Source organism: Homo sapiens, chromosome 5, assembly GCF_000001405.40.
Source record: "Homo sapiens chromosome 5, GRCh38.p14 Primary Assembly".
Classification (NCBI taxonomy): domain Eukaryota; kingdom Metazoa; phylum Chordata; class Mammalia; order Primates; family Hominidae; genus Homo; species Homo sapiens.
The window spans coordinates 169,665,677-169,689,158 of record NC_000005.10 but is presented as its reverse complement, the minus strand read 5'-3'; the positions used below and the strand labels follow the sequence as shown (position 1 = coordinate 169,689,158).

At 43.4% G+C, this 23,482-nt stretch overlaps 1 protein-coding gene across 8 annotated transcripts in view; it reads right to left on the bottom strand.

The window, feature by feature from the left end:
• DOCK2 (dedicator of cytokinesis 2) overlaps nucleotides 1-23,482 on the bottom strand; it is a 446,108-nt gene that overhangs the window by 394,224 nt on the left and 28,402 nt on the right. For all 8 annotated transcript variants that reach the window (NR_156756.1, NM_004946.3, XM_011534449.3 and 5 more), the window contains exons 3-8: nucleotides 19,831-19,871; nucleotides 18,562-18,617; nucleotides 17,985-18,081; nucleotides 14,714-14,862; nucleotides 7,280-7,415; nucleotides 4,809-4,963 (exon numbers count right to left, since the gene is read on the bottom strand). Coding sequence is in view for 7 of the 8 variants with exons in the window: in NM_004946.3 (NP_004937.1) it covers nucleotides 4,809-4,963; nucleotides 7,280-7,415; nucleotides 14,714-14,862; nucleotides 17,985-18,081; nucleotides 18,562-18,617; nucleotides 19,831-19,871 (634 nt within the window). In the remaining variant the exon portion in view is untranslated. The remainder of the gene's footprint in view (nucleotides 1-4,808; nucleotides 4,964-7,279; nucleotides 7,416-14,713; nucleotides 14,863-17,984; nucleotides 18,082-18,561; nucleotides 18,618-19,830; nucleotides 19,872-23,482) is intronic.

The window sequence follows — 23,482 nt, the reverse complement described above, 5'->3', positions numbered from 1 at the left end:
CATACTGGCTGCTGGGGGTATGCAGGTGTTTAAGAAAGACATGGTCCTTCCCTCCGAGAGATCACAGTTGTGTTGGGAGACAGACATTAGACAGGCAAGAGCAAAGAACTATTAACCTATGCGTATTTGCCACTACTATCCCTCTCCCATCTGCTAAGCAAATTCTGGCACAGCTGTCTAATATTTTTGAGGAGCATCTGCATACTGATAGAGGTTATTGAGAATGGCAGAGATGAGAGGGGAAAGGACTTTAGTATATTTTATTGGACATTAAGAATATATTTACCCTTTCCGGCCCGTTCCCCATTCAAGACTGAGTAAAGATCTGAATTATTTTAAGTTACCCTTTGAATGTAGAGCTGTTTCCTTGAATGGAATGTCATACAGTGATGGGTCATATAGGGTCTCAGCCATTATCTAAGATACAATTAAATAACTGTTTAAATGCCATTGTAACACTATTTATATAAAATTGTGCTACAGGCTAAGCACCCTTAATCTGAAAATCCCAAATATGAAATGCTCCCAAACCTGAAAATTTTTAAGTGTCAACATGATGCTCAAAGGAAATGTTCATCAGAATATTTTAGATTTCAGATTTTGGGATTAGAGATGCTCAACTGGTAGATATATATAATGCAAATATTCCAAAATCCAAGAGAAAATCTGAAATCCAAAACAATTCTGGTCCCAAGCGTTTCAAATAAGGAATAGTCAGGCTGTATAAAGGAAAAGTTCAGGATGTTGTATGAATGTGTATCAAATGGGCCTGACCTAGTGGGTGGTCAAGGAAGTCTTTGCTGAGGAAATGACATGAAATAAAGTTGGTCAAGAAAAGAAGGTAGGAAAGGGAAATGCTTCAGGCAAAGTCAACGTGAGTAAAGGCCACGAGGCAGGAAACAGCTGGATGCATCTAGGAAACAGATTCAAGGGGGCTGGGCACAGTGGCTCATGCCTGTAATCCCAGCACTTTGCAAGGCCAAGGTGGGCAGATCACCTGAGTTCAGGAGTTCAAGACCAGCTTGGGCAACATGGTGAAACCCTGCCTCTACTAAAAATATAAAAAATTAGCCAGGCATGGTGGCACATGCCTGTAGTCCCAGCTACTAGGGTGGCTGAGGCAGAAGAATCACTTGAACCCGGGAGGTGGAGGTTGCAGTGAGCTGAGGTCATGCCACTGCACTCCAGTCTGGGTGAAAAGGGAGACTCCATCTCAAAAAATAAATAAATAAAAATAAACAGATTCAACGGAAAGTTACAAGAGAAAAATTAGAGGGAGAGGCCAGACCACATAGGCTTTATAGGCCATTCAAGGATTTTTGCCTTGATGATGAGAGTAATGGAAACCCATTGGAGGGTTTTATGAGGACCAGCTATATGGTTCTAACGTACGATCCTTTGCCATCTCATATCTCCTAGCAGCCGTCATGCTGGTCAGTCCCATCACTCCAGGAAGATAGAGAGGTCTAGCACTTATTTAAGTTAGAAGAAGCTTAATATAGTTTGCTGAGTTGAGTCATCAGATTTTCCACGCCATTTAGGAGCATATAGTTGGTGCTAAATAAGTGCCCATTATTTTAAATTAGGAACAAGATTTTTTAAAAATTCAAAAATCAAGTTAGCCTAAGAAGGCATAACGGGATTCAGCAAAATTAAAGGGACTTGACTTCCTTTTAGAGCTTGTTTTATCTCTGATGCCTCGTTCCTCTCTCTCCAGTCACCCCTAAAAGGTTAATGAGAGCAGACTGAGCAGAGTTCAAGCAGGCAATGGGGCCAATAGCAAAAATGAACACAGTCCCAGATTAACCAATGCTTAAAACTCAATCAAGTTAAGTGGATCTTTTCATCTTTTGTGTTTTTTTCAGTAAGATCTAAAAATTGTAGTGGAGTTTGCAGTAAACTAACTAGGAAGTCTCCATGCAAATTTTTTTTATTTTTAATGCTTTCTCATTGGTAATTTCTGTACTGTTGTTAGTGAAATGCTTAGATATATTCCAGTACCTTCCATCATATGTAGCAAGCCCCTCAGTGACCCAGCTTGCTACGTCTAAACAGCAAGCACCAGCAATTTTCTTCCAGGAGAAGCACAATCATAAATAAGGAAAACAATTTGGAGGGCTGAGCTGGTCCCATCCATCCTCACCCAGGAAGATCTAGGTGGTAGAATCTGAAGGCTCACAGCACCAAGACATGTAAGACCTCCTCCAAATGACAACCTACTCAGAGGAACGAGGAGTACTATTCCAACTCCTCATCACACAATTTTTGGGCATAAGCCTTACTGCTAGCCTGATACCTGAACTGCTTCTCTTTTGTCCTGTAAAAATTTACATTAAATTTCCCAAACAGGATCCCTTCAGGGATCTACTGGGTATCTGACCGTGATTCAGTCCAACATTAAAACATCGATCCTAGCTATATTCTCCCCAGTCCACATCTGGGCCACACTGAAGATGTCTTAACCTGCCTGTTGTTCACTGTATGTCGATCCTGGCTACAGCAGGCAGGAGCCCAGATTTCTTGCTTAGGGAAAGAGCAGCTCTTCAGAGTGAGACTGACATTGGGAGTGTTCCCAGATTCCCCTGCCCTCCTTCCTGCATTGTGCCTCTTCTCTTCTTCCTTTGCTTTCTCCTCTTTTCACAATTGCTGGTTTCTGCCCCCTTTGTCCTCCTCTCTCTGTTCATCCCCACTCTCCCTGGGCTGGCCCTCGTCTCCAGCACTCTCAGAGATGTCACTCAGGCACACCCCATTGAGCATGGCCTGCCAGGTGGCACGGCAGGGAGCACAGCTGCCACCTCGCTGATTCATGGTCTCCCTCCACAGAGCTGGTCCAGCCATCCATCACTGAGATGGGGCCAGCCGACCACACTCCCTTGTCAATGTGGCAGGCAGTGAGCACTTTCAGATCTGCTGTGTGTCATAGGCCCCATACTGTTTCCTCTCGGTTGCTTCTAAGGCTCCTGAAACTGCAGCCAGTGAGCCTTTCAGGAACCTTGGGAGTAACTGACAGGGAACAGCAAGGGGCCCCTGCCTCTGACTCCCAAACCATTTCAAGGTGGGCGTAAGGGACCAGGGACACTCATTATCGGGGTCCACCAAGGCTAAGCCAGGTGAATTGGGCTGACTCTTTGAGGTTAGGGACTTTGGTGCATAATAAAAATTACCTTTCCACCATAATGGTGCTGAAACCCTGGTGAAAACCATTTAGAATATTTGACACAACTCATTCCTTGGTGACAGACTTACGTGGGAAATAGCTTGTCTTTGGAGTTAGATGGGCCTGTATATAAATCCCAGCTCTGCTGTTTACAAATATTTGTGACTTTGGGCAAGTTGCTTGACTTCCCTGAGCCTCATTTTCTCATCTTAGTGACACGGAACCATGAGGATTAGATGAGACAATGTACAGACCCCAGCACATTCTTCTGAGATGGACAGCCCCTCCAGTTTCATGCATGTCTCCAGGAGGCCGCTGTTTACTAAAGCACCACTATTCCTCAGGCATGGTGTATTCGTTCATTTAATCATCATAACAACAAGCCAGGAAGACATCATTTTATCCATTTTTCCCACAAAGGCAGAGAGATCATGTCCTAGCTCTTTTCTAATGTGTGCCTCTACAAAAACTTAAAAATTAGCCGGGCGTGGTGGCGCATGCCTGCAGTCACGGTCAGTGGTCTCAAATATGAGACCATGTCTTGGGCTAAAACCCCAATGGAGGAGACAGGCAGTGGTCGCCTGAGAGGAAGGATGGTCTAAGCCACAAGTAGAGGCCAGGAGTCTGGCAGTGGGAGCCGGAGGAGCAGCAAAGTCTCTTCCCTGGAGATTCCCAAGAGTATTTTCCCTTCCTTGAGCTGAGGCACCCAGAAGTTCCCTCACTTCCTCCATTCCCAAGAACAACTTATTAAAGTAGTAATAATAACAACCACTGCCCCTTGCAGTACAGGCAACATGTGCCAGGCCTTGTGCATCACAAACTCTTTCTCATTAAAGCCTGAAGCAAATGACCCTGTGAGGTCAGCACTCGCATTATGCAGATGGGAAACTCAGGCTTAAGAAACATTAACAACCTGCCCCATGTTAAGAAAGAGTAAAGGCTGGGGCCTAGATGTGAACCCAGACAGATCTCAGAGCCTATACCCTTAGCCTATTGCTGCTACAGAGGATTTGGAGCATTCATTTCTTAGCTCCTATTTTGAAAGTAGATATTGGCAGGTAGCAGTGGCTCACCCCTATAATCCCAGCACTTTGGGAAGCCAAGGTGGGAGGATCACTCGAAGCCAAGAGTTCGACACCAGACTGGACAATGCAGCAAGACCCTGCCTCTATAAAAAATTAAAAATTAAGCAGGTGTGGTGGCACATGCCTATAGTCCCAGCTACTCAGGAGGCTGAGGTGGGAGAACCACTTGAGCCTAGGAGTTCAAGTCTACAGCGAGCCGTGATTGCACCCATGCACTCCAGCCTGGGCAACAGAGTGAGACCCTGTCTCAAAACAAAAAAGAAGTACATATTTTTATTCTAGCCAATGCTACTTGTCTGAATCTTGTTATTTCTGACTGCTTTCTGGCAATCAAAATCTATTTTACAAAACCCTACAACCATAAACTCCACTGTGGGAAAAAACTGGTGGTAAATAACACTTCCACTTGACTCCTACAACCTCCAAAGAAGTTATTTCCACATTCTCACTCAGGTGCAGTCTCTTTTCCAGGTGGAGATTGCTCCACAAGTGAGGATGGAAAGAAAAGATGCTCTGTGCACTGCTTCCCATAGTCAGAGAAGTAGGGCAACCCTGGACACACCTACCTTATGACCGTTTGCTTGTTGGGGTCGTAGAGAGACATGAAGAGCTCAGCATCTTCCCCAATTCTGCACACAAAGTTTCTCACAAACACATAGAGGCTATGGGTGGGGGATGAGGAGATCCGGGAATACATTGCATAATCTGGCTGGTCTTTTGACTGAAAGGCAGAAGGAAGAAGGAAAGAAGATGGAGAAAATTAGCCTAGCACCACTTAGAGCAACAGAGAGATAGTCAAGGATATTGGGTTCAAGCCTAAAGTTTGGGCATTCCATCCAGCTCTGCCATCAAAAGCTTCTGTAACCTGAATCAATTCGCTTTGACTCTCTTGGCCTGTATTTTTCTATCTTGGGAAATGTCACCATTGACCCAGACTTCTTCATAAAGTTAGTGTCATAAAAAGCACAAACTAGAAAAGAAAAATATTGCTTAAATGGATTTTTTCAAAACTATAAACTTTTGCTCTTTGAAAGATGCAACAGCTAGGTACAGATTTGGAGAAACTTGCAAAACATATCTGACAAAGAATTTGTATCTAGAACATACAAATAACTCTTACAACTAATTATGAGGAAAATAACCCAATTAAAATGGGTAAAATGTTTGACCAGACACTTCCCAAGAGAAAATACAAGTGGAAATGACAGGAAGCACATAAAGAGATACTCAACATTACTACTTATCAAAAAAAATGAAAATTAAAACTACAATGAGATACAACTACACAACCACTAGAATGGCTAAGTTAAAAAGTCTGATATCAAGTGTTGACGAGGATGTAGAGCAACTAAAGCTCTCATATATTGCTGGTAGAAATGCAAAATTAGGCTGGCGTGGTGGCTCACACCTGTAATCTCAGCACTTTGGAAGGCTGAGATGGGCTGACCATTTGAGCCCAGGAATTCAAGATCAGCCTCGGCAACATAGTGAAAACCCATCTCTACAGAAAATAAAAAAAATTAGCCAGGCATGTTGGCATGCACCTGTGATCCCAGCTACTTGGGAGGCTGAGGTAGAACAATCACCTGAGCCCAGGGGGTCGAAGCTACAGTGAGCCATGATCACACCATTATACTCCAGCCTGGGTGATAGAGTGAGAGACCCTGTCTCAAAAAAACAAAAAAAATTGTACAGCCATTTTGAGAAACAGCATGGCAATACCTTAAAAAGTTATATATACACTTATCACATGATCCAGCAATCCCACTGCTAAGTATTGCCCAAAAGGAATTAAAACATGTCCGCACAAGGATTTGTTTCCAAATGTTCATAGTTGCATTAGTATAATAGCTCTGAACTGAAAACTTACCCAAATGCCCAATAATTGGTCAATGCTATATACCATTGGTAACTGGCCAGTGGTATACTGACTCAGTAATAAAAAGGACCAAAATGTTAATATGCACAACAACATAAACCTCAAAAACATCTTGCTGAGTAAAAGTCAAACAGAAAATTAATACTGCACGATTCCACTTATATGAAACTCTAGAAAAGGCAAATCTACAGTGACAGGAAATTAGGGGTTGCACGGGGCTTGGGGCTGGAGAAGGAGCACAAAGAAACTTTTAGGGTGATGGAAGTGTTCTTTATCTTGATTGTCACGATGTTTATCCAACACAATATATTATTACGATTCATTAAAGAGTAATTTAAAATGAGTGAAATGTACTATATGAAAATTATATCTTAATAAATCTAAAAACAAAATTGCTTTCAAATAACACAGAGTAGCTAAAATAATTTTTTTAAATAAAAGTCAGACTGTTAACCTTTCCTTGAAATCTCTCACTGATTTCCCATCCGTGGGAATAACATCACAACTCTTTTCCAAAACCCCTCAGGCCCTTTGAGATCTGTCTCCACCTACCCGGCCTCTGCAAATCATTGCCTAAACTCCCCTGGTGTTCACCACACCTCATCCTTGTTTGGCTTTCCTACTCCTTGAATAGTCAGAATGCAGTCCTACCTCAGGGCCTTTGCACCTGCTGTGCCCTCTGCCTGGAACACCCTGTCCCAGATCATCCCAGGCCTGGTGCCCTCACATGATTCAGGTGTCAGCTCAAATGTCACTCTTGAGAGAAGCCTCTCCTGGCAGTGCCTTTTAACATAGCTCCTGAGTCACTTTGATTCACATAACCCTGGTTCATTGCCTTTTATACACTCATCTGGAATTAATATTTTCACTTATTTATTTACTTTGTTATCGCCTTTCTTCTTTTCCCCTTCTGGAATCTACAAGCTCCAAGAGATCAAGAAACTTGCCTGCCATTTAACTACCTGTGAGATGGATGTTGAATGAATTACAGATTTGAGTACGAAACCACAGTTAAACACATGTGGTTGCTGATCATCTCAGGTCATAGACAGATGCCCCTTGAATAATACACAGTCTGGTTCATTAGCCCATTATTTTAAGTTTATGATGTGCTAAATGATTGTATCACTTGGCCAAAGCCTATTTAGTAAAGCTCACCATTTCTTCTTTGATACGCTCTGTGATTTTATCAGTTGCTTCCTCATGTGCATGGAACAAGCTGATGACACTGGTATTATCAGGGTCCAAGATATTTCCGTCTTCATCTCTGACAATCAAATCAAGCTCAAGGATTCTGTAAAGCAAAAACTGGAGGTGAAGACAAATCAGGGGAGAACTTTAGGTCACTGGTGAGAAGCTTTTTACCAGAAAGTTCAGCTGATTTCTGGGGGTCATATAGTCACATAGAAGAGCTCTACACTGATAGCCTGGGACACTGCTAGTGAGCACATATTGGTATAGTAGACCCCCTTTAGAAGGTACTGTAGTAGTGTGCATTCAATTTTTTAAAAAGGTGTATTTTCCATGGTATTAAACTGAAACACCCAACACTTGAACTAGGATGTGTTGCAGACTTGTTCACATCAGCAAGTATTGAAAAAAAAAAAAAATGTTAGCTGGGTACGGTGACTCACGCCTGTAATCCCAGCACTTTGGGAGGCCGAGGTGGGTGGATCACCTGAGGTCAGGAGTTCAAGACTAGCCTGGCCAAGATGGTGAAACCCTGTCTCTACTAAAAATACAAAAATTAGCCAGGCATGGTGGTGAGCTCCTGTAATCCCAGCTACTCGGGAGGCTGAGACAGGAGAATTTCTTGAACCTGGGAGGCGGAAGTTGCAGCGAGCCGAGATTGCACCACTGCACTCCAGCCTCGGTGACAGAGCGAGACTCCATCTCAGAAAAAAAAAAAAAAAAAAAAAAAAAAGGTCTACTAAAAGAGAAATGGCTAAATCAACAGTGATCTATCTATAATGGAATACCACATAGCAGACCTTTTAAAATATTATATAGTTTTGCTATGTTTAATAATATATTTCAGTGCAAAAATCAAGCATGGAAAGATGCATACAGTGTGCATACAATATTTATTTTTATAAATAAATAACAATAAAACAAATAAACAAAAAATAGGCCAGATATGTTATCTGGGTTCATGTATAAGAATAAGCTTATGTATGAGAGAAAGCTCTGAATGAAAAAAGGACCAAACTACCAACACAGGTTATCTGTGGGGACAGGTAGGGGCCTAGGGCTGGAGGAGTAAAGGGGTCAAAGGTTACATGTGCCTTGTCTCAATTTATTTAATTTTTTTTTTAATGAGTCAGGGTCTTGCTCTGTCTTCCAGGCTGGGGTACAGTGGTGTGATCATAGCTTCCCACAGCCTTGAACTCTTGGGCTCAAGCAATCCTCCCACCTCAGCCTCCTGAGCAGCTGGGACTACAGGCACATGCCACCATGCCCAGCTACTACCGTACCTAGCCTCTTTTTAAATATATACACAGAGGAGGTATTTATATATTACTCAATAAAAATTTGAAAATAGTGGTTGGGGAAAAACAATCTCAGACATGTTGACTGTTACCCACAGCTTGCTTTCAGCTATTTGACTTCCAGGCCACAAGCTTTTCCCTGTTTGGTATTGATTTGTTTCAACTACACCTGTCATCCTGATCGGCATCAGTGATACTAATAGCAGCAAACTCACACAGCACTTACAATCAGCTCACATACAATAAGTGTTTTACATAAAATTAATCCATTTAATTCTCATAACAACCCTATGAAGGAGGTACTATCAATAACCCCATTTTACAAATGAAGAAAAGACTGAGGATATGAGGACTAATTGCTCAAGGTCATATAGCTAGTAAAAACTAAGAATACATCTTTGTCCACACTCATAACCTCTCTGGTATGCTTACTATAATAGATAGGAGGAGCTTAGGAGCAGTATATGGGTTGTGGAGTGGGGTAGGGTGTGTTTGCAGAAACCTTGAACTTGAAACTGCTTTTGCACTTGATATTGAGATGAAGAGCCTCAGTTGTCCATACAAAGAAGGTAGGAGGAGGTGGGGCTGATGGATTCTGAGAAGGCCAACCATACTCCTGCTTGGTTGCGACTACTAAGTACCAGATTCTGGAAGGGTAGCAAGGACAAATGAAGGAAACTAAGTCTTCATCTCTATCAGAGAATCGAATTGAGAGGCGCATCTCTCATCTCATCCAAATGCAGTCAGAAGCGAGCCAAGGTTCACCCATTTGTCCACATTCATTAGGAAATTAACTCCCAACTTAACATGACTCATAATGGTACACGGCCATGCTGCCCAACGGCAATGCTAAGGGGGAAGAAACACATTCAGCTAATGCTTAGCAGAGGCTCTCCTGACCTTGGAAAAGATGGAGCATCGCTGATACATAATTTAATGCCAAGATCTCTCTGGCTGTTTCTCCTCAAAATTTATCAAAGTGGATTCGGTTCTAAAATACATGAATAAAACATTCTCCTAGGTCTGGCTATCTTGGGATGTGAAGAAGTCATTTGAGGATTCCTCAATCCTTGGACATCAAAATCACTTGGAACTTTGGGAGCTTTGGTAGGATTGACAGGACTCTCATGGCCCAGGGGCAGGAGAGGCTGTCCTCCACAGCCTCTGAATGCAGCCACCATGAATTTTGGGGAGCAGAACATTTAGGCATTCTCTCATCAGGATGTAACCCCAGTGCTCTCTTCTGTTCAAGGAAGTGATAAAATGAAGCCAAGATGAGGGTAGAGGGAAAAGGCCCCACTGTATGCATTTATTTATAATAAAATTTTTAAAAAAGGTAAAATCAGCTGGGCATGGTGGCACGCACCTGTAGTTCCAGCTCCTCGGGAGGCTGAGGTGGGAGGATCACTTGACCCCAGGAGAAGGAGACTGTAGTGAGCTGTGACTGCACCACTGCATATGCCAGCCTAAAAATCTGTGATGGCTCCCCATTGCTGTCTGGACAAATCCAGACTCAGTTGGTGCTAAAATCCTCAAGGTTCCAGCCCCAGTCCACCCATGTCTTCCTCTCCGTGGTCATGTCAACCTCTCATCTCCCACATTCTCTCCCTCCGAGTTTCTCTTCTCCATTTCACCTAATAATTCCTGCTGGTCTAGTTAGATTCAGAGTGGTTGTCATCCCCACCCTGACTCCCACCCCCATGTCCTCCAACCTTCTTGCCCATGCTTCCTGCACTCCTAATGTATATGACTTCCGACTGAAAGTGGCTGTTTACTTCTCTGCCTCCCTTATTAACTCACACAGCTCATGGAAGGCAGTAGAATACAGCAGTCAAGCACTTGAACTCTGGAGCCACATTATCAGTTCAAATTCCACTGCATCTTGAGCAAAATCACCTGCCGTTCAAAAGACCACCAGGATGGCCAAATAGTAGAAAGTGTAACCGAGGATCTCAGCTTCAAAATGCATTTTAAAACTTTTTTCTTGGCCAGGCTCGGTGGCTTATGACTGTAATCCCAGCACTTTTGCAGGCCAAGGCAGGTGGATCACAAGGTCAGGAGTTCAAGACCAGCCTGGTAGAGACTGGTGAAACCCCGTCTCTACTAAAAATACAAAAATTAGCCTGGCATGGTGACGTGTGCCTATAGTCCCAGCTACTTGGGAGACTGAGGCAGGAGAATCACTTGAACCTGGGAGGCGGATGTTGCAGTGCACTCTGCACTCTAGCCTGGGTGACAGATCGAGACTCTGTCTCAAAAAAGAAAAAAAAAAACAAAAACTTTTCTCAAGACTGAAGATGTAACCTTGAGAAAAACTATAGAAGCCTTTTTTTTTCCTTAGTCTTAAGTATACCCTTGAAACATACTTTGAAGCTCCATTCCCTTCCGTCTTCTAACATATACTCTCTTACTCCATGCACATTTACTTAACTCTGTGCTTGTTAAGAAATTCCAGGGGCTAATTTAAAACAAACCAGGCATGAGAGCGCAGCTACAGAATTCTCCCCCACTTAAAGACTGCCTCAAGATGGATCATCTACAGCCTGGCCACTGTCAAGATGGCACCAGTCTGTGCTCCAGGTGGACCATAACTCAAGACTGGCATCAGGGCAAAACACACAGCCCCTGCACCCTACACAGCTCCTGCATGCCTCCCACATCCAGCTTCCCTTTTTGAAACCCCTGCCCTCAGCCCAGAGTTTTGAAGTGGTTTCCAGAGGGGTGAGCCTGTATGTTTCCCCATGGCTGGCTTCGGAAATAAAGTCACTTTCCTTACAATGCCCTGTGTCCCCGTTACTGGCTTTGCAAGCAGCGAGCAGCAGAGCCTGCACTTCATTACAAAAGGAGAACCTCACTGGTTACATCGGTTTGCAAACTTTGAAGAGACAGTCTCTGTCATGTCTGGAAGGTGCTCTCTCTTTGAAGACGGAAAGGACATGTTGGGTTTTATGCCTCACAGGGCCAACATCATACATATTCAGCAGGTTTAGGGGAAAAATCATACATATTTATGGAGACAAGAGCATGCACAACGGGTAAACATGTATGTAACATACATCCCATGTACACTTTGGGGTGGGGTTTATTATTAAAATAAGATGAAACTTGGCACTTTACATCAAAAGGTGAACTACTGGACACAGTTTGCGGGCAGCCTTCAGCTAGCTGAAACTGACTTAAGATTTGCAGTTCTTTATCAAAAAAAAGAATGTTTAGCAGGCCAGTCCTCTGTCCACTTAGAGTTATAGTGGTGTGGATGTAAATCAGAGTTAGGAAGGGTCTGATAATTTGCCTGATAGCTCCTATTGTTAGGGAGTTTGACAAGAGTGTGTTTTTCTTGTAGCTGTAGGAATTTAGGGAGTTGCCATGCCAGCTCCCCTGAATGCTCAACCTGACCCATAGGCAGCTGTTGTTTCCTTAACCTTAGAGTCCATCTTAGTTGATAAAGAGGCACCTGTGTTGGTTTCTCAGCTCACACACCTAATCACTCTTGAGCCTCACTTTCCTCACCTGAGAAACAGGGTGAGAATAGTGCCTACCTCATAAAGTTGTTTTGATACTTCACAGAGTTAATATATGGAAAGTGCTTTAAATGGTGCCTGGTGTACAGTGAGCGCTTCAGAAGTTATCACTGGTTCTCATTGCTTGCTTTTTGATTGTTGTTAAAAACAGAGACTGTATTGTGTATGTGTCTGTACCCTGTACCCTTGGGGCCTACCAGGTGTGCAAAGAAAGTTTGATATCTGAATGAAGGAACGGAATGAATGAGAGAAGAAACAAGCTCATTCTGATCACTCCTCCAAGGTTCAGTTCCACTTTGTGCCACCCCCACCCAATCTCCCAGCTGCTGGAAGTTGGAGGTGGGTGTTCCCAGGCTGATCCTGACACTTGGCCCAGACGCTGGGCCTCCTGGATTTGAGGAAGCTGCCCATCCCATACCAGAGCTCTGAGCACCTAAACTATCAGGCCAGTGATAAGTTGCCCAACTCTCTCGCTTGCAGCTGAAGCAGTCAGGTGAATAAGGGGGCCCCTGAGCTTGAGGTCTCAGTCTGTGCCACGGAGCATCCCTCACTTCCCCAAAGGAAACTGACAGAACTAAAAGCACAGGGCTATAGGTCAGAGGATGCTGCAGAGGAGGGGCTGGTTTAGGGAGGACCCTCTTTCTTCTTTTTCTCCCATCACCACCATTCGCCCACTCACTCAGTTGTCACTCACTGAGAACCTACTATGTGCAGACCTTGTTCCAGGCACAGGCAGAGAGGTGCTTTAGACAGTCAACATCTATAGGATCTTCCACAATAGGAGGGAAGCCAGGCCAAAAAGGAGGCAATTACTACTCAGGGCCTTCAAGAGCACCTACCCCGGGCCAAGGCGGGTAGTGGAAAATCAGGGAAGGCTTCCTATGAGTAGTGACCACTTCTTCCATTCCTGGTCCTTCTTCTCAGGAGCCCCCATTGAGAAAACAACATTTGAAGGTCGTAGATGTCATTGTAAAGCAGCCCTCAATTCCCACACACTCAGCTGCAACTGTGCTCAGCTAAAGACATCATGGAACCAACGGCAGTAGCAGCTGCGGGGCAAACCCTTCCTGTCACTTTAGGATGATGTGCTTTATAAGCAGATTTGGACACGCTTGCCAGATGCCAATGGGGCATCAGCAGAGGGACTGTGTTCCTGGGATGGAGACCAGCTGTGAGTTGGAGCCATTGACTTTCCTCTCCGAATCCTCCCCCTAGTGCTTATGTCAGGGCAAGAAAGCCTGGCCTGGCTGCTGGGGAAACTTCTTTTTATTCCCATTAAATGGGCTTTTTACTTCCCCCTCAGGCCCTGTGTTCCAGCCTTCAGACCCACTTTGCAGTTCCTTGAGTATGCCATGCTCTCTCATGAGCCCCTGACTCTCCTTTTTTAGCCTGCTTAATATCTCTTTATCCTTCAAACTTCAGCTCAGGGGTCGCCTCCTTCAGGAAGTCTTCCTTGACTTCCTTCTCTAAGGCTCATTAAAAGTAACTCTTGCTTCCTGAGCTATCGAACTTCTCACAGTACATATCAGCAGTTTACTTGTGGCTTACTCCTAATTGGAACTGTGACCCTTTAGTGGACAGGGACTTTTATTTCTACAGCCCCAATACCTAGCAGGAAATCCAGCCAACTATAAGTCCTCAATACATGTTTGTGGTAGGAATGAATGAACAAATGAACAGAATGTTTGGAAGCCATTCAAAAGATCAGGAGGGAGGGAAGGTCCTTATAGTTCTCAAATGCTATCCAAGTAGCAGAGTGGTGAGGCCCTGGACTCCACTCCAGGAGGCCCTGGACTCCAGGTGGACCCTGGAGCCAGACTGCCTGGGTCTAAGTTCAGATTCTGTCATTTACTAGCTGCGCGACTCTGGACAAGTTACCTACCCTACTGAAAACCCTCGGTTTCTTTATCGGAAAAAAGTGGGGATAATCAAACTGCATACTCCATAGAGTTATTATAAGAATTAAATGAGACAATGCCTGCAAAACACTTAGCACCAAGCCTGGTGTACAATGAGCTCTGATTAAGAGTTACTTATAATGTTATTATCAGTGGGTTGTCCCACCTCAAATAATTGGTTCATTTTCTCCTTAACTTCATAGCATTCAAATCCAACCAATTTTTACTTCTCTTCCCTTTTGAGGAAACATTTTTGTAATTGTGCATTTGAGTTAGTTGATGGTGTGTGGGTTGGCTACTTTAGGATGGGGGAAGAGACATTAAGTCTCACATTGGGATTTAAGGGAGAGTTTTGCAAATGCAGGTATAAAATGACAACTAAGCTGAAAGTGAACCAGCATGACTATGCTCCCTAGTCCATCGGAAGTAGGTTAAATGAGTGTCCTAAATCTCTCAGCCTGGTAATAACACCATGTTAAGTACAAGCCTTCTCTCCACCTGCATGTCCCTAGGTCCCCCAGGGGTGGTAACAACGGCACGCAAGCACAGCCATTGGTCACAACCTTCTCCCAAACAGAAAGTGACAAAATTGCATCTAAAAATGAAAACAAGCTTCTGGGGAGAGAGGGAAGAAAGAGGATGGCTGGGGGAAGAAAACCTCTTTGCAGAGGAAAGAGAGGTTACTTGTTGCCATAGTCAATTTTGGACGTGACTTTCTGCTTCAGTTCCTTCAGCTCATCCTTGGGTAAGGTTCCTGAGAGAAGCTGGGACCTCCACTCCATCAGATCGTACATCATGGACTGCACCTGGAGAAAACGCTCCTTTTTGCTGGCCTAGGAGACAAGAAACAACCCATAATTACCTGTGTTAAAGGGGCATGACCATCTATTTGGCAGGCTGTGCCAAAGTCAGGTGAGTGTGGTCAAGGGCCATGGCCTGAGGCTCTCTCCCTGCCCTACCCACTACAAAAGGATTAGGTGGGGGTCCTAGTCGTTGATGTATTTATTCCCCGTGGACCACAGGGATTTCCCAAAAGCAAAAATAAAAATCTCAATCATTTCTTGGTTAAGGAATGAGTGATTTCTGACTTTATCTAAAAAGATATTTATTGAACAGGAATGCTACGAACATCTGCCCTAATGGAGGTCCCAGAGCTCAGGCCTTTTGAGGCTGGGAGCCAGGGCCATTTCTCTGGTGATAAAGGACTGCTTCTAGGGCAGCATTCTCCAAAGTGTGGCACGCGTACCACCTATGGGAAGCAAGATGGCTCTTCGTGGTACAAAGATACAAGGTCAAACAACATGGATCCCTAGGTGATTCTCTCCCACTCCATTTCCATCCTTCTGTGTAAGGGAAAGAGAAAGTTGCAGTTTCATAGTAATATGTCTCTAACACCTCTCACATATTGTTAATGTCTTTTTTAACAAACAGAGAGAAAAGGTTTGGACTCAGAGCTTTTGACAGGTACAATAGCAAGCATGTTCCGGAGGCTAAGGCGGGAGGATAGCTTGAGGCCAGGAGTTTAGCACTGCAGTGAGCTATGATGGTCCCACTGCACTCCAGCGGGGGTGACAGAGCAAGACCCTGTCTCTAAATTTTTTTTTATAAAAATAATGTTATCTTGTTTTCATTGTATTTAGATGAATAATGTTCTTCTAATTGTGTCAAGTACTTTTGTCTTTCCATTTGGGAAAGTGTGGGTGGTATAATTAAAAAAACAACAACAAAAAAATATATATATATACACACTTGATTTTTGTCCTTGGTTCTTGAAGCAGTGCTCCTAAAACTCCTGCAATGACCAGAGTGATAAGAATGTATTTTGTTATTCCTAACAATCCCCTTTCAATGATACCTGAGTTTATGCTAATGAGGTGATTCTAGGTGGGCCCCTAGATAGCTTCAGGATGAGGGGCTGGTTGCAGAGGAACCAACTAGGAACCAAACCCCCAATCACATGATTAGAGGGTTGGAACTTAGCCCCACTCCCCTCCACCTGCCCCACCCCAACCTCTGGGAGGGGAGGGGGACTGAGGATTGAGCTCAAGCACCAATAGCCAATAATTTAATCAATCATGCCTGTGTAATGAAACTCTGATTAAAACTCTTGGTTAATAACATTTGAGGGGCTTCCCAGAAGGTGAACACATCAATGTGCTGGGAGGGTGGTGTGCCGAGGACACGGAAGCTCTATGCCCCTCTATGCCTAGCCCTGTGTCTCTTCCACAAGGCTGATCCTGAATTACATTCTTTATAATAAAACCGTAATCACATGTATAGCACTTTCCTGAGTTCTCTGAGTTGTTCTAACAAATTATGAAACTGGAAGTGAAAAAAGGGGGTGCCCAGGCAGGGAGGGGTAGTGAGAATCCCTGAATTTATAGCCAAGTCCAACAGAAGTTCAGGTAACCTGGGAACCCAGGACTTGCGACTGGCATCTAAAGTGAGGGCAATCTTGTGGGATTGAGGCTTTAAACCCATGGAGTCTGGCAGTAACCCTGGGTAGTCAGCGTTGAACTGAATTGTGGGGCATCTAGTTGGTGACGGGGAATCAAGAACTGCTGGAATGATGCAGCATGCTATCTCATTCTTTATGTCTATAGATTCAGGTTTACTGAAAGGAGATCCAAAGCAGCTATTAAGTAAATATTACACAGGTTGTATGCAGATATGGCAAGAATCAGGAATGTGATACCGAAGTACTAGATGTTGAAGGATCTCCTGACTAGAGTAAATGGACTTACTGCTATTCAAAGATTTCCTAAGGGAAAATGCCAAGCTTCAATGGTACGTGTGATTGTGATGTTTTAAAAGGGGTAGTAGGCCGGGCGTGGTGGCTCATGCCTGTAATCTCAGCACTTTGGAAGGCCAAGGTGGGTGGATCACTTGAGGTCAGGAGTTCAAGGCCAGCCTGACCAACATGATGAAACCCCATCTCTACTAAAAATACAAAAAATTAGCTGGGCGTGGTGGCGGGCACCTGTAATCCCAGCTACTCAGGAGGCCAAGGCAGGATAATCACTTGAACCCAGGAGGCAGAGGCTGCAGTGAGCCAAGATCATGCCATTGCACTCCAGCCTGGGCAACAGAGCGAGACTCCATCTCAAAAAAATAAAAAATAAATAAAAAAAAAAGGTCAGCGTATAGTGGAGATGAACAAAAAATTGCTTTAGCCACAAGGATACTATTTTTCCCCTACACTTTTCTAAAAACTTTGAGAAACATGTAAAATTGAGTGTGCCAATTACATCTTCATATTATGAAATGTCCACATGGGAGTCAACATTTAAGACCACGAAAGGTAAGTCTACAAATCCTGTGCATACACCAGCAGGTGTCCACGGTGCCATAATAAACATGCAGTAAGCCTTGGTTGACATTTTCACTCTCAGCTTAATGGTTTGCTTAGCTAATTGCTTTCATTAGGAGCTTTAGAGCATCAAAGGAGGATTTAAAATTAGATTTGCTTCAAAACAGGGAAAACAAATGCAAAAATATATTCTTTGTTTTTCCAAAGTCAAAACTTCTTCATAGATGTGAGGACAATAGCCATTGGTTAAAGTATAAGAACAGTATTTCTCAATGTGTTATCAGCAGACTAGCAAATCAAATCTGAGTTTATTAAAAATGCAGATTATTAAACCCCTTGGGAGGAAGCTTTATTTTTAACAGTTCTTAAGGTGATTCTTATGCATGCTCAAGTTTGACAACTTCTGCACTAAACACCGAAGGTTCACAGTAGACTCCATTGATTATGGCTCTGTCACTAGCTCTGTGGCTTTGAGAAAGTCCCTGATCCTCTCTGGGCCTTGATGTCCTCACACGTAATAGTGTGCGCTCTGCTATGTCACCAAAGCCACCTCCACCTGCCTGACTCAATGCTAAAATGAAAACTGGAACCAAACTGAAGATTGCAAGAAGCTTCCAACTCAGGGAGCAGAGTTCTGAGTCTCACCACATAGAGTTGTTTCCAGATGCTTCCCCATTCCCAAAGTGTCGTTGTCACTTCTTGTGCCAGAGGAATTTCTGCAGGAATGATGTTCTCAGTATTTCTATTTAAGGTGGGAGAAAAAGTGGTGTGAAATTGAGACCCAGGTGCTAACAAGATAAAACACCAACAAATTTGCATTAAGCTGCAGCTGCGGAGGGGCCTTCCTGACATTAGACTAAAACACCTCCAATAGCCACACCAACTACATTATGCAAATACAAGGGACTTGCTTTGTTATGTCCTCCTTCGCTAGGGTGGGCTCATTATTTAGGATTAATCTACTTTAATACAGTTCTAAGGTAGCTGCCAGCAAAAAGTTTGATTCTCCAAACTAATACCCCCTCAGAGTCAGATCTCAGTATGAATCAATTTGGATTAGATCTCCCATTGAGTAACGGAAAGGAGACCCACAAATATACACAGGCACAAAGAAGATAAGCTGAGCAACCCTCAGCTCTTCCAAGTCAGATTTTCAAAATAAACAGGACAGAGACATCCATGAGCCACTGGAGGCTCAAGTCTGGTGAAGAATGGCAAATACCTTCTTTTCTCAACTGTCACTTCCTTGATGTGGATAAATGACTTAGGAAAAATGCCCTGTTGGAAACAAAACAAAACAAAACAAAATAAAATAAAAAGATATATCACCACAGAAATGAATGACCCTACGTCTTTATAATTTTTTTCCAAAAGCTACTGGCTTATAAAATCCCCAGACTTTAAAGGAATAAACCCAGAGCCAGATAGAACAGGGGCTGGATTCTAAATCTACTTGTTTAGATCTGGCTTTCCCTCCAGTTCTCCATCAGTTGCTCTAGATCCCACAATAGCCCTAGATCTCACCATAGCCCTAGATCCCAAGGGATGCTCCAACCCATTATGGCCACTCATCCTGCAGGTGGGCTATAAGACAGTATCGTTTGAAAGACAACCTAAACCACTCACTGACTTTAAGCGAGACGAGGAGCTCTGCTTCTCCCATTGCCTGCCCGATTCCGGAAAGCGGTCACCCTTCACAGTCAGGAACAACTGGAAGGTCAGAAATAACTGGTCCTGAAGCAACAATGTTCCTAGGTGCATTTGGGCTAGTTCGATTTGAGACCTATTCTGCCTGCATTTATTCCATTGTTCTTTGAGAGAGCAGAATAGGACCATCCCTCCCGACACAGCATGTCAGGGAAGAAGGAAGAAGCTTCTATTATTTCCTTACTCCATACATTTGGCTCAGTTAACAAGGTAAGTTTATCAATTACTTGGAAATCCCTTCATAAATGCAACCAATGTGCATACTGGGGACATCTGGTCACTGTGCTAGGTGCTGTGAGAGAAAATGAGACAAGCAAAGCAAGCGCCTGCTCTCATGGAGACAATAGTGAAATGTGAGGTTAGAACAAGAGAACCCCTCAAAAGTAGAAATCAGGCCTGTCCTTTCTGTGTTGACCTGGGTATACGGATGAGGAGATGACTGAATGCTGCAAACAACTCTAAAGGAAGGCAGTAGAATAAATTTCAAATTTATAACGCACAATTCCACAGAGACTCGAGGAAGGGAGAAATCATAAGTGAGTGGCATATCAGGAAAAGTTGCAGGGAGATGGCACCAGAGATGAACCTTAAAGAATGAGGGAAAGTGGGAGGGAGCTGAGCACAGCGAGTGACAAGGCACAGAGGTCAGAGAGCACAGGGCACAGGAGGGAGAGATGGATTCCCTTTGCTGAGGAGCAATGGTGGGAGAGACCTGCTCAGATGGGATAGCGGGGCCATATGAAGACCTCCAGTACTGACACAAATAAAAACCAGGTGACCTTACCTGTAACATTTTGTGCTTTATGAGGTATCCCCTATACCAGTCTGCAAAAAGAAAACAAAGAAACAGTTCCCTCATTTATTACAAGTTTGTTGCTAGTGTTTTTCTGTTTTGTTTTGTTTTGTTTTAAACTAGTAAAACTACTGCAAATTGCTTTAGACCTTGGGTACAGATCAAACTCTGGAAGCTCATAGTCTTTGAAATCTGTTGAATTGGTTGCCAACATCTCAAAATAACATCTAAAAATAGACTTCATATAAAGGTGCTCCTGATTTTGAAAAATCAGGAGCCCCAGTAGTGCTGGCCAGTGCTCCCAACTGGCTGGGAGGAGAAAAGCAGCAGGGTCCACCAGACAGAGCATCTGCCTCCAGTCCACCAGCCTCAACGCAGCCCCTCCCTTGTGTCCATTGCCTTCCTGGGCCCTGTGACCATCTGCATGCTTTCAATTCCTGCCTTCGGGACAAAGAAATGCTCCTGATTTGGGCAAACATCCTAAAATAACACTGACAGTTCTAACAGCAGCAAATAGTGTCTAAAATGCGATTTACAAAAGTTAGTCGTTACAAAACAAGTAAGTTTAGGGACAGATAAAGGGACAGGGATTTTAAGAGATCTACCCTTTGCAGGAATATTATATTAAAAAATGTATCAATGAGCAGAAATCCAAATTACACACAGTCCTCAGACAAAATACGCCTGAGTGCAGCAAGTCCTGATGACTGTAATGAGTCGGCTGGCCTTTGAAATGATTCCAACACAGCCAAGGAGTGGCATTTGTCATCTTTGTAAATAAAACGCGTCTGTCAGGAGCCTCACTAGCAGACCCCTCATTACCGGGCTGACAGATTGTTGATGAAATATGTTCCCAACAGACATACAACCAAGCCCAAAAACAAACAACTTAACATGCAAAGTCACCCTTCATAGTCATGAGCCAGCCTGACGGCCAGGTCCTAAAGGAAACTCTGAAGCAACAGGGGGCCGTGATAGCTTCTTTTTGAGTGACAGAAAGTGAGAGGAAGGAGAAAAGGAGAAAGGAAGGAGAGAGGAAAAACAGAAGGAAGAAAGGGAGGTTGGAAAGAGAATCTCAGGTGGGAAATAAAAATACCATTCTAAGCACTCTTTATATATTAAGCCCTTCAATATTCATAACAACCGCATGAAGTAGGAACGGTTATTATCCTGTTTTACAAATGAGTGGCCTACCTGAGGCACAGAGAAGTTAAGTGACTTTCCAAGGATCACACAGCTAGTAGGTTGCAGTGTCAGGTTTTCAACATAAGCAACTATCACCTATGCTTCCTATATTATGAGGGAATGATTTGATGGTTACCTAATATTAATATTTCCAACTTCTCAATGTCTAAATCTCCAAAACTAAATCTCCACTAAGCTACTTTCCACCTGAATACTTCCAGTGATGGAAGATGTTCTACTTCATGAAGCATCACATTCTATTTTCAGTGGCCTCTAATTATTTGTCAATAACTGTTGAAAAATAATCCATAATTAACAATACTGCTTATACTTTCTAAGTGCTTCCTATGTGCTGGTAACTCTGTTGACATTTTTTGTTTTGTCTTATTGTAAATTAATCTTTACAACAATCCTATTAAGTAGGTACTATTACTGCTTCAGCTCTGCAAATGAAAATAGACAGGCACAGAGATTAAGCAGCTTGCTGATGGTCACACAGCTAGTGGGTGATGCAGCTGAGATTTACACTCAAGCAACACCCTGCTGCGCTGTGCTACAACAACCTCCTTTAGTTGCCCCTTTTCACCAACTAGACAGAAATGCAACTTTGTAATATTATTATTACCTGTCTTTCACTGGTCACCTGCAACATGCAAAGCTGTATGCTAAACGTTGTACAGGCATTCTCTCATTTAATCCTCAGAGCGACACTGTGAGCTAAGTATTATCATTCCCATTTTATAGATGAGGAAACTGATATTCAAGTCAATTGATGGGCTGGGCCAAGATCATACAACCAGAGTTCAAACTCAAGCTTATGTGACTTCAAAGCCAATCCTTAAAGCTGGTTGGCCACATTGTCTCCCATGTGATGGGGTTAGAGTGCAAATAGAGATAGGGTCATCTGGTAGCAGTGACTTGAACCCACATGATGGCTAAGGTCACTAAAATCCACCAAAAAACAGAAAAACAATCGAGGGACCAATAGATGGTCCCTACACAAAGCTCATGTCCACATCTGCATCTCTGTGACAGGGACTCCATTAAGGTAACTTGTCTTCCTGGATCCAAGGAGTTTGCCTGCTCTGACCCTCAAAACTCGGTTATGTGTGTACGTCTTATAGGTTTCCTAATTCTCAGAGTTGCACCTCACTCCTGACGACAGGATTCTGCTGACACTTACACCCAATATTCTTATTCTGGCTCCCAGGTTCAAGTTCAATCAATATTAATTGTGCACCAACTATGTATATTGCACTGGGCTACATGCTTCCAGGGATAAATCCCCAGGGATTCATTGCAAGAAGGCTTTATCTCCACTTGCTGGATGGTGACACTGAGATCAAACAGGTGGGGAAGAAATTCCAACACATTCTTTAGCAGAAAAGCAGCCAAACCAGAATCCAAACCCATGCCTAGTGCATCAACTGCATCCGGACTATCCTTATGACTTTTTTCTGGCATTTTTACTTCTGCCAGGTCATTTATCTCTGACCACTGATGTTGGTTCCCTAATATGGTCACCAATCAGCTATATCTATCTATGCTCCAAAACATGACTGGGCAGATAACAACGGTTGGTACAAAAGAGAAAAATTCCTGGACAGTGGACACCATGATCAAAAGCAGGCTCAGTGTAACATGGCATTTACCATGTCCCAGAACCCGCTCCTGAGTTCAACACTCTTTTGAATTCAACAATAACAAGGGCTTTTTTGCTAACCGTTTTCATGAGATAACCACTTTCTTTAACATAAAATTCACAGTGTGCATTGCTATGGACTGAATGTGTCCTCCCAAAATTCGTATGTTGCAATTCTGACACCTGATGTGATGGCATTAGGAGGTGGGGTCCTTGGGAGGTAATTAGGTCATGAGAATGGAGCCTTTATGAATGGGATTAGTGCCCTTACAGGAGAGTTTGCTCCCTCTCTCTTTGCTCTCTGCCATGTGAGAGGCTATGACAAGAACACAGCCATCTACAAACCAAGAAGCGGCCCCCACCAGAAACCAGATCTGCTGGTGCCTAGATCTTCAACTTTCCAGTCTCCATAAGTATGAGGAATAAATTCCTCTTATTTAAGCAGTTTATGATACACAGTAGCCTGGACTGACTAGACATGCATTCTGGAGGAAGATGAGAAAAGGAAAAATTTTTACAATTCTTTTGGAAAATTATAAAGTGCCAATTATTCAAATAATCCTCCCTTTTCACATCTCAAATACCAATATCAAATACATCTAGAGTCTCAAATCCTCTAAGAGTCAAGGGAGGCAGGAGATTTAAAATATCCCACAACATCAAAAAAGAATCCAAGGTCTAGAGATCCAGTCCTCCCTATGCCATTTCCAAGCCACATGGCCTTTGGTCATGTCACTTAAGCCTCAGTGTTTCTATCTGTAAAGTGAGGGAAATAACACCTAGCCCCAGAGGAGTGCTACAAACACTATTTTTTTA